Below are 14194 nucleotides of genomic sequence, written 5' to 3'. Positions count from 1 at the left end.
AGTACTCCAAAAGATGACATCTTGGCATAATGATTAAGAAAATGGCAGGAGCGGCAGAAAGGTCTCTCTGACCTGGAAGGAATTTTCTGACCTTCTGAAGCAGGTCCTAAAACTCTGATGTGAGAGGTACCCTCCCTATACCTGGGAGGAAGGAACATCCTGTCTTCAAAGATGAACACAGTGGCATCTGAACAAACAGGCCTTGCCAAGTTTCCACCAGTTTACTACACTTACCTCATACTCCACCTTATAGTATTTCTGCACAACTGTCCACACTTCTTCAAACCTGCTATAAAAACCACTCCCATTTCACATTTGAACGCTTTCTTCAGGTCTTCATTTCCTAATGAAGGCTCCTGTGTTACATAAAACTTATATGAAATAAATAGATGTGCTCTTCTCTTGTTAATCTGTCTTTTGTTACAGGGGCCCAACCAATAAACCTAAGATGGGTAGAAGGAAAAGGTATTTTTCTCCCCTACAGTTTCTTTTCTTTTTGTTTTTCTTTTGTTTTTTTTTGGTTGTGTGTTTCAAACAGATATAAAATACCTATTACACAAAAATTTAAAACTACCAATTTGTTAAACTTAGAAAAGATACTGATTTGTAACTAAAAAAAAAAAACCTTTACATTTTTATTTCTCAAGGTAGCTTACCTCTACTTTCTGAAAGTTGTAAAATTTTTGGTTTAAAAATTGTCACTCTATGATTGTCCCAATTTGTTTTTCTATGCCATGACAAAAACAAAATACTTTCAAAATGTTCTGAGCATTTAAATGAACATTTAAGTGTATGTAAATAAACTTATTTAAGTAACTTTTATGTTGGTAATAAACCAACACATGCATTAAATACCTCTTCAGCGTAAACAGGAAATACTGATGACGATGCCAGCATGGAACTGTCAATTCACATTACAGCACAATTAATAATCAATCTGACTAGTTTAGTGATATTTAAAGGACACAATTAGTCACTATATCTGCCAGAATAATTGAATATGTTAACATTCTCCTCGCGTAAATACCAATTTCATTATCTCATATCTTTCTCTTTACTCGTCTCCAGATAGCAATAGCCCTCCCTGTGTGGGTCATGTAGAAATGACCCAGAACTTGTTGGTCTAATATTTTCGGTCTAATTCTTTCCAACCTTTGGTAAACTTAGAAAGCCTGCAGGGATCTCATATTGATGATTTTCAATCTTTTAATTGTGATAGTCTTTTTGTTATTCTGTCTTTTCACCTTCCTTTGCCTGTCCATCTATAATTTTCAATTCAAGTTTATATCAGTCTCTTTCTTGAAACCTGGAGATTTCATCAGCCACAGATTTCCTTTTTTTTTTTTTTTTTTTTTTTTTTGCCTTTTCCTTTATTTCCTTTTCAAGCCTCAAAAATTCTTCCTGTTTTTACTTCTGCTGGGTATTACTTTCAGGTAGTAATTTTAGTTTACATTGACATTGATGGTTTTTTTGCCACTTTGTCTCTTTCTCTTCTTCCTCTTTTAGCTTCCTTAAAATATAAGCATATTTAATTGACACTTAAATATTTTTCTGTTTTTTCTAAGCTTCAATCACCAATTTGGTTTTTTTGCTCCTCTTTTTGCTTGTGATTACATTCTTGTTTACTTTGAGGAAGGACTGGCTTATCCTTCATCTTTCCCTTTAACTTGAAAGTATTCTCCCTGTTTGCTGTTTTTTAGTTTTCCAATTTTGAATAGATTTTTTTTCCTCTCTTCTAGAGTCAGACATTTTTAATGTATCTTTCATACTGTTGCACTTTATCCTGTGCTTTTCCAGGATGGTGTTGCAAAACTTTCCCTATATATCTTGTCTTCTTTTTATGTTTGTTTCTCATTTTTACAAAGTTCTGGTGATCACAATCATCCAGCACCCTTGACATCCTCCTGTTTACTGAAGGAATTTTGCAAAATCTACCATTTCTCCTGGAAGACTACTTTGTTGTATTCTGTCTACAGGAACTTTGCTTAACATTCCTCTGAAAGTTCTCCATGTTTCTAGTGACCCAAAGCCCATATGTCAATTTTCCTTGATACAGTATTCAACTAATTTTTGGCTATTTTCTTGTCTTTATTAAGCTTTTCATGTAATCAACCTCTGTTCTTTCTTAAAACTGTTTACTGTATTTTTAATTGCTTAGGTTCATTTCTCTGAGCTTTGCAACAAAATCAGGTGTAGGTGTCACACTTTATAACTGATGCTAAAGTCACTTTACATTGTTATATATTTTGAACAACTGTTATTGGGTTTTTGCTCTATTTTCCTGCTGATAATCAATTTATTTTCCAATTCTTTCAGCACACTGCCAAATTCTGAAGTTTTGTTGTTGTTGTTGTTGTAGAGATGACTCTATGTTAACAATTTGATTTTTAATTTTTACTGCTGTACATATGAACTTTGTTTTCTTAGTTTGAATAGCTCTCTGGTTCCAGTTTGAAGCTGAAAAGGTTAAATTCTACCTGAAGGATGAAAACAACCAACATTCTGTGCCAAGACAGTCAGGAGGGCAACCATGTTTCCTGGTGGAGCCTCTGGAACCACTCAAGCCAAGATGACCGGGGGTTTGGCTGGGAGGAGATGGGGAAACTACAGACCCTACAGATGGTTTCCTGTACCATGAGGTTAAGCCTGGGGGCAGGAGAGGCTGTACCTTAGTTCCTTCATCTGTAAAATAAAGTAACATAGTACCTACCTCATAAGGGTGTTCTAATGATTGAACTTATTATACGTAAACTTTGAACAGTTTGTGGCTCAGATTATTATTTCTAGTTTCTCAGATCAGTTTTTCTGTATTTTGACCTTGCTTATTCTTTTGAATGCTGCTGACAGTTCTCACATTTCTCTTTATCCTTTGTTGTCCAGCCAGGTTTTAAAAAGAAGGTGTAGATCACTAGGGTTTCTTTCCTCTGCTGTTGCATGAGTAGGATTATTTTCCTTCTAGGTCTCTGTAAGAAGAGTTTTGACCGAGAACTTCATGCACTCTGTTGAAATGGAGCACATCTGCTATAAAACTTCACTTTAGGGGCTGATGAGCAGGAACTGAATGTCAAGCTATAGATCCCTAAATAAGGTTGGCTTTCATATGCCCTATATCCTTTTCAAGATTTCAGTTAATAGGGCATTAAATGGGAGTAGTGATGATACACTAAAGTGGTAGATATTGTGAAAAGAATGTATAGAGTACAATAAAATCTTTACATAAGTTCTGCACTTGACAAGGGAGAAGAATCAATTGCTTAATTAAAAGTGAAATGTTTTTATCACTTTGAGATAATGCCCTAGGATGATTTTGAAAGTGACATGTAGTTGACTCTCTAGAATTGAGAGTAATTCTAGAATCATTATGATATTTTTTTGTGCATCCTTTAATTTTATTTAATAGGACAATAGATTTTTATTTCCCCCAGGCCGAGGCAATGGAGTATCTTTGAGTAATCTGCAAGCTGGTCCAAAGGGAATAACAAAGGAGGAAATATTCTTCGTAAACAAGCCCTGCAACCCAAAAGTGGAGTAAGAATTTCCTGTCCCAGTCTTAGGAGATGGTCAAAAGCTCTGCATATTTCTCCACTGAATTAGATTTCATAACTTCCTGTGATGTCATTTGCTATTTTTCCCCTGGCTTGAGTTAGGACTTCCCTTTCAGAGTTTTGTCAACCCAGTTTTCTTTAGACCACTTTAGAAGCAAGAATATCTACTACAGATTCATGAAAAGAGCACTGAATAAGAAGTTAGGATAAGTGGATTTCTAAGGCCAATTTTCCTTCTTACAATTTGACTTCAGAAACGAGTACTCATACCAAGCTCACATTTCCTAAATAATTCACATTCTTGAAAGGTAGAAAGAGCTGTCTTACGAAATGGTGTGTTTCCTGTCATTGAAAGTATGCCAAAAGATGCTTGAAAACCACTTCTTAAGACTCTTGTGCAATTTTCATATAATAAGATTAGACTTGATGGTTCTATAAAAAAAACTCTCTGAATCTTGAAACTCAATGATTCTGTGCTTTAGTTCTATGAAGAGAAGAGAAGCAGGGAGGGAATGATGAAGGGATCTAGCATATCTATTCAGCCTTGTGTGGATTTCAGCCTTGGTCTCTGGAGATGCTTCAAGCTTCCTAAAGTGGTACTTCTGCCTGTCCATTCTGACTCCATCCTTAGATACCCACTTTCTGATCCAAAATAAGCATGTCCATATGAATATGTTTAAGTCAGAGGCAGCTAGATGTGTACCCATAACTGGAGGGTGGCTAACCAGTGCAAACATAGATTTCTTTACATTCTTATTCTTCTTTTTAAAAATCTTATGACTTTTAAATTGTATCTCATAATACCTCTGTTCTAACATAAGATAATATTTTAAATTATCAATTATTGGCGGTGATGAACTTGCCCCAATCCATCTATGCAGATGTTTCTTCCTATGCACAGGGCAAATGCATTTAGTTTAAGAAGCTCAGGGCAACACATTTGACTGGCACACTGGATTCAGGTTTATTATCCATGGTCTTCTCACATCTTTGGAGTCTGTCTTTGCAAGACCCACCCCCTCCATCATACCAGGTCCCCATCTAATATGGAAGGAGGAATCTAATGATAGGAGAGGTTCATGGTGTTGTTTAAATAGCCCCCTCTCAGCTCATTCAAGCAGCTCTTCTCAGTCGACTCTGAACTGCTTACAATGACACATTATAGTAGAATTATTTCAGAGACCTTTTTCAACTCAATCTGGGTGTGCCTCATTGAGCTAATAAAATCCTCACCCCTGAGAAATGGTGTAATATGTGTTACATTTTGCTACAATTCATGATATGTCTTTGGAGAAGAATTGTACATTTTATATAATTTGTCAAGGACAATTTCAAAATGCATAACATCATCAATCTCACTGACAACATCGCTAATGGCTTCACTCAGTAGTCAGAGTTTTGCCAAATGCAAGCTAAGACTCAGGCCATCACACACCTGCTCCCAGCCTATTGTTTCAGATGTATCATCTGTTGAAAAGTTAACAGAGTAGGAAAAGAATTCATCCTTGAAGCATTTCCCCTCTAATTAAGTCAACAGATGCTGTTTGAAGTCTATACCTGGGGAATTTATTACTTCAGTTTTAAAAAGTAAGAGAAATTCACAGATCTGCCTTCATAATAATTGTGTTTTTTTTTTATCAAGGTCACCAGCCTAGTAATAACTGATAGTAGTCAAGAATTTGTGATGGTTGTCATTTTCAAAAACATTGGAATGACATTTTCCAAAAGTGCTTTCATTTGAATTATCATCTGGGCTTTATTGCTCCTGGGCTGGGCTCTCCCTCTCTTGGCGGGAGGCTAGACAGAGCTAGCCTTGCTCAAATGGGCTTAAGGGGTTGGGGGAGGTGGCAGGAAGTAGCTCTCAGGACCTTAATGGTTGGATGGAGGCAGACAGCAAACAGTGAAGTCAGAGGTCAAAGTCAGAAATGCATAGCTAAACCAGTCACCAGGGCAGAAACATCCTGAGGCATGCAACAGTTAACTGGTACAGCCTGTGAGTCAAAGAGCCAGTGAAAATGAGAACATGCTCCTTCTGCAAGGAGAAGTAAGCAAGATGGTATTCTTGGGAAATAGCCAAGAAGATGAGCTCTTGCTGTCTGCTGAAGTGTGAGAAGCCATGACAAAAGTGACACCCAGTGACCTGTGTAGGCTTTAGTTTCTTTATGTGTTTCCTGGTCTCCTTGCCTAATATGGGTATGGAAAAGATCACATTCAATCTTATATGTGAAGTCTAATATATTATCATCATTGTAATTGTTAAAATTTGTTTTACAATTAAGAAATAGATGGAAAGATAGATAACCTAAGAAAAACTAAAAAACAAAAAACAAACAAACAAAAAAAACAGCTGCATAAGAATATTTTCCTTTTGTGGCAGAACAAAATAGGGCCAAACATTTTGGTGTGCTGTTTTCTTTCAATTTAGTCTGTTCTTGTTAGTTTCTGATCAAAGTACTTACTTAGCATTCATGATTGCTAACATTTGTGATAATTATAATTTATGAGCAAATTATCTATTGTTACCATGACAGTCCTGGTATTTTCACAGATCAAAATTTATATACAAGAAAAAAAATCCTAACATGAAAGAATTAGATTTTTTTTAACACCAGGTCTCAAATTACCCACCTACTTTGACAGTTCTAGTGTCTTGATTGAATATTTTATGATGATACTACTTAAGATAAAAATGTAAAAGCTAATTTATAGTGACATCTCTTTATGGAAAAGGTCCCCAAGCTGATTTATTACCAGGTTGAAACATGTCAGTGAATACAAACATTTCTAAGGTAAAGAGACTTTTCAATTTTCTTTCACACTCTGTCATACAGCTTCAGCTAAATAATTTATATGAAAAACAGGGTATTTTAATTTTACAATATGCCACTTTATTTTCCTATGATATCTCTTTTAGTTTTATTCTTCAATTCGATTTGATACCTGCTATGTTCTGTACTGAGTAATAAATTTGGAAGCTATTCCCAATTATAATTCATTTTGATACCTGCACATTTGAGGGAACATAATGCCAAAGATTCAAACTTAGTTCTTCTCAGACTAGATTCTTTACTTATCACCCTCTATTCAGCAACAAAGTAGGTAATCAGTTGCCAAATTGATGCTGTTTTTCCAGTTTTCTAACTGTCTCTGCCATCCTGATTTCGTCTCCTGTTAAATTTATTACGTTATGTCATTCTGAAAGGAATTTAGAGAAAGTACACACATATATAAAATTATTTAATCATATTTTTGGTTGAGGAAGAAGGGGTTAAGGGACTATGTCTAATGATTTACTTACAGTTCTATAGAACTATTCACTAATACAATTAATAAAATAATGCACCGTAATTATAATATAATTTAAATATTCAGGAGCTCTGGGTAGTGATAGATGAATATAATTGCTGAGGTTTAAAAGGATTTTTATAAGTGAATTCATTTCAAGGATTATTAAAGGGCAAACAGATGACATGAGATTTTATATTGGTGGTAGTTTGTGTTACAGGAGCATTAGTGGTATTGTAAAGTAAGAAAGAGAAGATGAAGCCAGGAAGGTGCTATAAGCAGGACAAAGAAGAAACAGCAAAGGAAGCACAAGCTGAAGAGGAAACTGCTTATGGCTTAGCGCAATATCTTCTGGGACAGTGCATGATACAGGAGGTGGCAGTGACAGTAGTTCAGTGGGAAAGAAAGATGTGTTTGGTGACAGCATTTTGGTGAGAGGAAACAGGAGAAAATAGGGAAAAGATTAAGGGCAGAGAGAGACCAGATGGTGATCATAATGAGCCAAAACCCAAAAATGTCATGGACTCAAACCTTAGCCGTAGAGACCCAATGAAATGGAAAATTAACAAAAATAGAAAAAATATAATTTATTTTCATAATTTAATGTATTTGCATCATATCTTATCAAAAAGTATTTGAGGTGAATTATTGAAAGAGAAGATGTTTATTATAAGATTAATAAAACAGAACCAAAAGAGGAAGGGGCAGCATATGGCAACCATAAACATCAGCAGAGCGGCTGTGTGTGAGCAGATACCCTAGAGCTTCCTCCTAGCCCTGATGAAGAGGGAAACTTTTTAAATCATAAAACATTCATTAAATATCATTACCTGAAATTAGGGTACCCACAAAATATTTGTCAGAATAAATTTTCCTGGTGAGAAACAGCTCCTGGGTGACAATAGGAGTAAGATTTAACCAATAATAACCTCAATATTTGTTTCACAGCAAATAGAGAAATTAAATTTGCATAGCTAATTCTGAAAACAACCTAAGATAAAAACTCATGGCTAACAATTGAAAAAACGTATCTACAAAAGCAATGACAAAAAAGTCATTCTCTAAATGTGTAGTCTGACTTGATCCAAGGACATTGATTCATAGTGATACAGGAGGCGGGTAGGGAAGTGCTAAGCAGAGAAAGGCGGGGTCCCTGGGGAGGGCTCCCTCGGGCCTGTGCCCATGGACCTAAGTGAGGACAAGCATTTCTGTTTCCGTGCCCATAAAGTTGCCTTTTGGCCTGCCACACCCCCAATCCTGTGCCCATAAAAACCCGAGAGACCGTAGCGGGCACAGACACAAATGGCTGGTCGTCAAGAGGAGCAGAAAAGCAAACACACAGACACCAGCAGACATCGGCAGGCCATCGGTGGCGGGACAAGGCAGAATTCAGCTGGGGTGGTTAGAGGAGAGTCCCGCTGCTGGGTGGCCCGGCTGCTGGGTGGCCCGACTCCAGGGGGAGACCAACTTCCCAACCCATCCTCCTTCTGGCTCCCCATCCACCTCGCTGAGAGCAACCTCCACCACTCAATAAAACTTTGCACCCATCCTCCAAGCCCACATGTGATCCGATTTTTCTGGTACACTAGGGCAAGAACCGGGGATACAGAAGGCCCTGTGTCCTTTCGATAAGGCAGAGGGTCTAGTTGCGCTGATCAACACAAGCCAACTACAGACCGCAAAACGGAAAGAGCGCACTGTAACACACGCCCACTGGGGCTTCGCGAGCTGGAAACACTCACCCTAGATGCTGCCATGGGGTCGAAGCCCAAAAACGCTCCCCGTGACCTGCCCGTCTGCATGCTTCCCCTAGTGGTTTGAGCAGCGGAGCACCAAAGAAGCGAGCCACACCCCTGGCGCACACCCGGCGAGGGGGATAAAGGAACACTCCTCCCATTTCAATATTTAATAAGCACTTATGCTGGGTACTGGGACATGTTTGTGAACAAAATATCCATGATCCCTGCCCTCATGGAGCTTACATTCTGGTAAAGGAGTCAGAACATAAAGTAAAAAAGATATAGAAATAAAATTACCGCAAATTATGATAAGAGCTATGAAGAATATTAACACTGCTATCAGGAGTTAAAGGGGCTGGAGGGTGGTTTCCTTGTGTAGATTCGGTATCAGGAAAGGCCTCTTTGAGATGACATTAGGAGTATCTGGAGTATTGAATAGACCCACGACACAAGATAATCTTTCCCAGCTAACCTCTCTGCCAGGCTTTCAACATGCACCATTTAAACAGTGTCTGTAAAACTATGCACTCTAGGCAAATTACCTGGAGTGCAGGTATTCTGTACGAGAATTAAGAAAATGTCATGAATTTTAGAAACCAAGAAGCTGGTTTTAAAATTAACAAGTCTAAGCAACATTTTAGCTCAAATGCAAGCTAGAGATGGTACTGAATAAATAGTGGGGTTTAGAGAAGACAGCCATAAAATATGAAAGAAATACAGACATGGGTTTCAGGTGTTGTTTTAAATTCGAATTGTGTTAACAACAAGTTTAGTGAGTCCAAGTCTTCCTTCCATACTCAGAGGGTCCTCTGGATCTCTGAAGTGACTCCGAGCCACCATGCCCTGGGCAGCTCCATTCTCACAAGCCCCTAGACTACACTAAAAGGGTCCTGCCTACCATGCAAGATTGAGGGATATCTCAATCCTTCTCATATGAGCAGCTAAACGAGTCTCTTTAATTTAATCATCCAATATTGTACTATGTTTAAAAATTAGTTTCTTTTGGGTGGAAAATTCTGTTTGCATAAAAAATTAAGTGAAAACAAATATACAATGAAAAATAATTCTCCTTCTGACTTCAGTCTCAAAATCTCTAACCTCCGTCTCCAAAAGCTGCCAATGGTAAACAGTTTCTTGTGTATAATTCAAGATATGCTTAATGTACACACAAGCAATGATACTTGTATTACACCCATGCACCCTGCCACTGTCCCCCCAACACAATGTAAACCCTAATAGCGGGAATAGTACATATATATCCCATGTCACCTTTCCTCTCATTTAGCAAAATATCTTGGAGGTTATACACTGCATTTTATAGATCTTAGTTTGATTAAGATCTTCCAGTTGATGCTTCTGTTTGTGCCCCCACTCTTTGCTGTTATTAACAGTGCTAAAATGAACATTCTATATAAGTATTTTTGTGCCCATGTGTGAGCATATCTGGAGGAAAAATTCCTTATTTTAGTATTATTTTTTAATTTCAATAGGTTTTGGGGGGACAGGTGGTGTTTGGTTACGTAAATAAGTTCTTTATTGGAGGTTTCTGAGATTTTGGTGCACCCATCACCAAAGCAGTGCACACTGTACCCAATATGTAGTCTTTTATCCCTCACCATACCCCATCCTTTGCCCGGAGTCCCCAAAGTCCAATGCATCATTCTTACACCTTTGCATCATCATAGCTTAGCTGCCACATATCAGGGAGAACATACAATGTTTGGTTTTCCATTCTTGAGTTACTTCCCTTAGAATAATAGTTTCCAATTCCATCCAGGTTGCTGTGAATACCATTATTTTGTTCCTTTTAATGGCTGAGTAGTATTCCATGGTGTGTGTATATGTGTGTATATATATATATATATATATATATATATATATATATATACATATATACATACCACATTTTCTTTATCCACTTGATTGATGGGTATTTGGACTGGTTCCATATTTTTGCAGTTGCAAATTGTGCTGCTATAAACATGTGTGTGCAAGTATCTTTTTTGTACAATGACTTCTTTTCCTCTGGGTAGATACCCAGGAATGGGAGTGCTGGATCAAATGGTACTTCTGCTTTTAGTTCTTTAAGGAATATCCATACTGTTTTCCATAGTGGTTGTACTAGTTTACATTCCCACCAACAGTGTAAAAGTGTTCCCTTTTCACCACATCCCAGCCAACAACTATTTTTTTTTTGATTTTTTGATTATAGCCATTCTTGCAAGAGTAAGGTGGTATCTCACTGTGGTTTTGATTTGCATTTTGCAGGTAATTAGTAATGCTGAGCGATTTTTAATATACTTGTTGGCCATTTGTATATCTTCTTTTGAGAATTGTCTTTTCATGTCCTTAGCCCACTTTTTGATGGGGTTGTTTGTTTTTTTCTTGCTGATTTGTTTGAGTTCATTGTAGATTCTGGATATTAGTCCTTTGTCAGATGTATAGATTGCAAAAATTTTCTCCTACTCTGTGGGTTGTCTGTTTACTCTGCTGATTATTGCTGTTGCTGTGCAGAAGCTTTTTAGTTTAATGAAGGCCCATCTATTTATGTTTGTTTTTGTTACATTTGCTTTTGGTTCTTGGTCATGAAGTCTTTCTCTAAGCCAATGTCTGAAAGGATTTTTTCAATGTTATCTTCTAGAATCTTTATGGTTTCAGGTCTTAGATTTAAGTCTTTGATCCATCTTGAATTGATTTTTGTATAGGGTGACAGATGAGGATCCAGTTTTGTTCTTCTACATGCAGCTTGCCAATTATCCCAGGACCATTTGTTGAATAGGGTGTCCCTTCCCACTGTATATTTCTGTTTACTTTGCCAAAAATCAGTTTGCTGTCTAAGTATCTGGCTTTATTTCTGGGTTCTCTATTCTGTTTCATTGGTTTATGTACCTATTTTTATATCAATACCATGCTGTTTTGTTTACCATGACCTGATAGTATAGTCTGAAGTTGGATAATGTGGTGCCTCCAGATTTTTTTTTTTTTTTTTTTTTGCTTAGTCTTGCTTTGGCTATGAGGGCACTTTTTTGGCTCCATATAATTTTAGGTTTTTTTTTTTTCTAGTTCTGTGAAGAATGATGGTGGTAATTTGATGGGAATTGCATTGAATTTGTAGATTGCTTTTGGTAGTATGGTCATTTTCACAATATTGATTCTACCCATCCATGAGCATGGGATGTGTTTCCATCTGTTTGTGTCATCCATGATTTCTTTCAGCAGTGTATTGTAGTTTTTCTTGTAGAGGTCTTCACGTCCTTGGTTAAGTATATTCTTAAGTGTTTTTTTTTTATTTTTTGGTTTTTTTTTTAGCTATTGTGAAATCTTGATTTGATTCTCAGTTTGGTTGCTGTTGGTGTATAGGATTGGTGTATAGCTACTGATTTGTGTATATTAATTTTGTATCCTGAAACTTTGCTGAATTAATTAACCAGCTGTAGGAGCTTTTTGGATGAGTCTTTAGGGTTTTCTAGATATATGACCCTATCATCAGCAAACAGCAATAGTTTGACTTTCTCTTTACTGATTTGGACACCTTTCATTTCTTTCTCTTGTCTGATTGCTCTGGCTAGGAATTCCCATACTATGGCAAATAGAAGTGGTGAAAGTGGGCATCCTTGTCTTGTTCCAGTTCTCAGGGGGAATACTTTTAACTTTTCCCTGATCAGTATAATGATGGCTGTGGGCTTGTCATAGCTGGCTTTTATTACGTTAAGGTATGTCTCTTCTATGCTGATTTTGCTGAGGGTTTTATCATAAAGGAATGCTGGATCTCATCAAATGCCTTTTCTGCATCTATTGAGATGATCATGTGATTTTTGTTTTTAATTCTGCTCATGTGGTGTATCACATTTATTGCTTATGTATGTTAAATCATCCCTGCATCCCTGGTATGAAACCCATGATCATGGTGGATTATCTTTTTGATATGCTGTTGGATTTGGTTAGCTAGAATTTTGTTGAGGATTTTTTCACCTATGTTAATCAGGGATATTGGTCTGTAGTTTTCTGTTTTTGTTGTGTCCTTTCCTCATTTTGGTATTAGGGGGAATACTGGCTTCACAGAACGATTTAGGGACAATTCCCTCTTTCTCTATCTTTTGGGATAGGGTCAATAGGATTGGTACCAATTCTTCTTTGAGTATCTGATAGAATTCAGCTGTGAATCTGTCTAGTTTTGGACTTTTTGTGACAATTTTTTAATTACCGTTTCAATCTCACTGCTTGTTATTGGTCTCTTCAGAGATTTGATATCTTCCAGGTTTAATCTAGGAGGGTCGTATAGTTCTAGAAATGTATCCATCTCCTCTAGGTTCTTAGTTTATGCACATAAAGGTGTTCACAGTATCCTTTAATAATTTTTTGTATTTCTGTGGTATCAGTTGTAGTATCTCCTGTTTCATTTCTAATTGAGCTTATTTGGATCTTCTCTCTCCTTTTCTTGGTAAATCTTGCTAATGGTCTACCAATTTTACTTATCCTTTCAAAGAAACAGCTTTTGTTTTATTGATCTATTATATTATTTTTTGTTTCAATTTCATTTAGTTCTCCTCTGGTCTTATTTCTTTTCTTCTGCTGGGTTTGGGTTTGGATTGTTCTTGTTTCTCTAGTTTTGTGAGGTGTGACCTTAGATTGTCTATTTGTGCTCTTTCAGACGTTTTGATATAGGCATTTAATGCTATGAACTTTCCTCTTAGCACTGCTTTTGCTGTTATCTCAGAGGTTTTCATAGGTTGTGTCACTATTATTGTTCAGTTCAAAGAATTTTTAAATTTCCATCTTGATTTCATTGTTAACCCAGCAATCATTCAGGAGCAGGTTATTTAATTTCCATGTATCTGCTTGGTTGTGAGGGGTTCTTCTGGAGTTGATTTCCAGTTTTATTCCACTGTGGTCTGAGAAAGTACTTGATATAATTTTGATTTTCTTAAATTTACTGAGACTTTTTTGTAGTCTATCATATGGTCTATCTTTCTTGGGTCCTTTCTTGATGTGGTGTTCTCTCCCTTCCTCTAGGAAAGGGGCTTCCTGAGAATTGAACTGTAGTGATTGTTTTTGCTCTTCTGGGTCTAGCCACCCAGCAGAGCTAAGGGTTCTGGGCTGGTAGTGGTGAGTGCCTGCACAGAGTCCTGTGATGTGATCTGTCTTCAGGTCTTGTAGCCATGGATACCAGCACCTGCTCTGGTGGAGGTAGCAGGGGAGTGAAGTGGACCCTGTGAGAGTTCTTGGTTGTGTTTTTGTTTAGTGCCCTGGTTCTGTGTTTGTTGGCCTCCAGCCAGAAGGTGGAGCTTTCAAGAGTGCATCAGCTGAAGTCCAATAAAGAGGATGAAAACTTGCCCTATAGACACTTGGTTATGTATTCAAGTTTCTCAGGTAGTGGGCAGAGGCATAGGGCTCCCAAGAAATTATAGCCTTTGTCTTTGGCTACCAGGGCAAGTAGAGAAAAATCACCAGGTGGGGGCAGGGATATGCGTATCTGAGCTCAGCCTCTCCTTGGATGGGGCTTGCTGTGGCTGTGGTGGGGGATGGGTGTGATTCCCTGTCCAGCGGAGTTATACTCCCAGGGGTATTATGGCTGCCTCTGCTGAGTCATACAGGTCACCAGGGAAGTGGGGGAAAAGCCAGTAC

At 37.5% G+C, this 14194-nt stretch overlaps 1 long non-coding RNA gene and 1 pseudogene across 7 annotated transcripts in view, besides 1 other annotated feature; one reads left to right on the top strand and one right to left on the bottom strand.

Annotated features, from left to right (window-relative positions):
- LOC124901339 (uncharacterized) overlaps positions 1-2714 on the top strand; it is an 84723-nt gene extending 82009 nt beyond the window's left edge. For all 7 annotated transcript variants that reach the window (XR_007059640.1, XR_007059635.1, XR_007059634.1 and 4 more), the window contains one exon: positions 2428-2714. This is a non-coding gene — a long non-coding RNA (uncharacterized LOC124901339). The remainder of the gene's footprint in view (positions 1-2427) is intronic.
- On the bottom strand, positions 1059-2508 carry LOC100132834 (coiled-coil domain containing 112 pseudogene; annotated as a pseudogene).
- Positions 2330-2597: a silencer, noted in NCBI's record as "fragment chr6:71961178-71961445 (GRCh37/hg19 assembly coordinates)". NCBI's record gives its function as "represses an EF-1alpha promoter that drives an FKBP-Casp9 reporter gene in an ReSE screen in HepG2 liver carcinoma cells {active_cell/tissue: HepG2}" and the evidence as "EXISTENCE:reporter gene assay evidence [ECO:0000049][PMID:32094911]".
- Positions 2715-14194: the final 11480 nt, after the last annotated feature.

Source organism: Homo sapiens, chromosome 6 (genome assembly GCF_000001405.40).
Source record: "Homo sapiens chromosome 6, GRCh38.p14 Primary Assembly".
Taxonomy (NCBI): Eukaryota; Metazoa; Chordata; class Mammalia; order Primates; family Hominidae; genus Homo; species Homo sapiens.
This window is presented reverse-complemented; position numbering and strand designations above follow the sequence as displayed.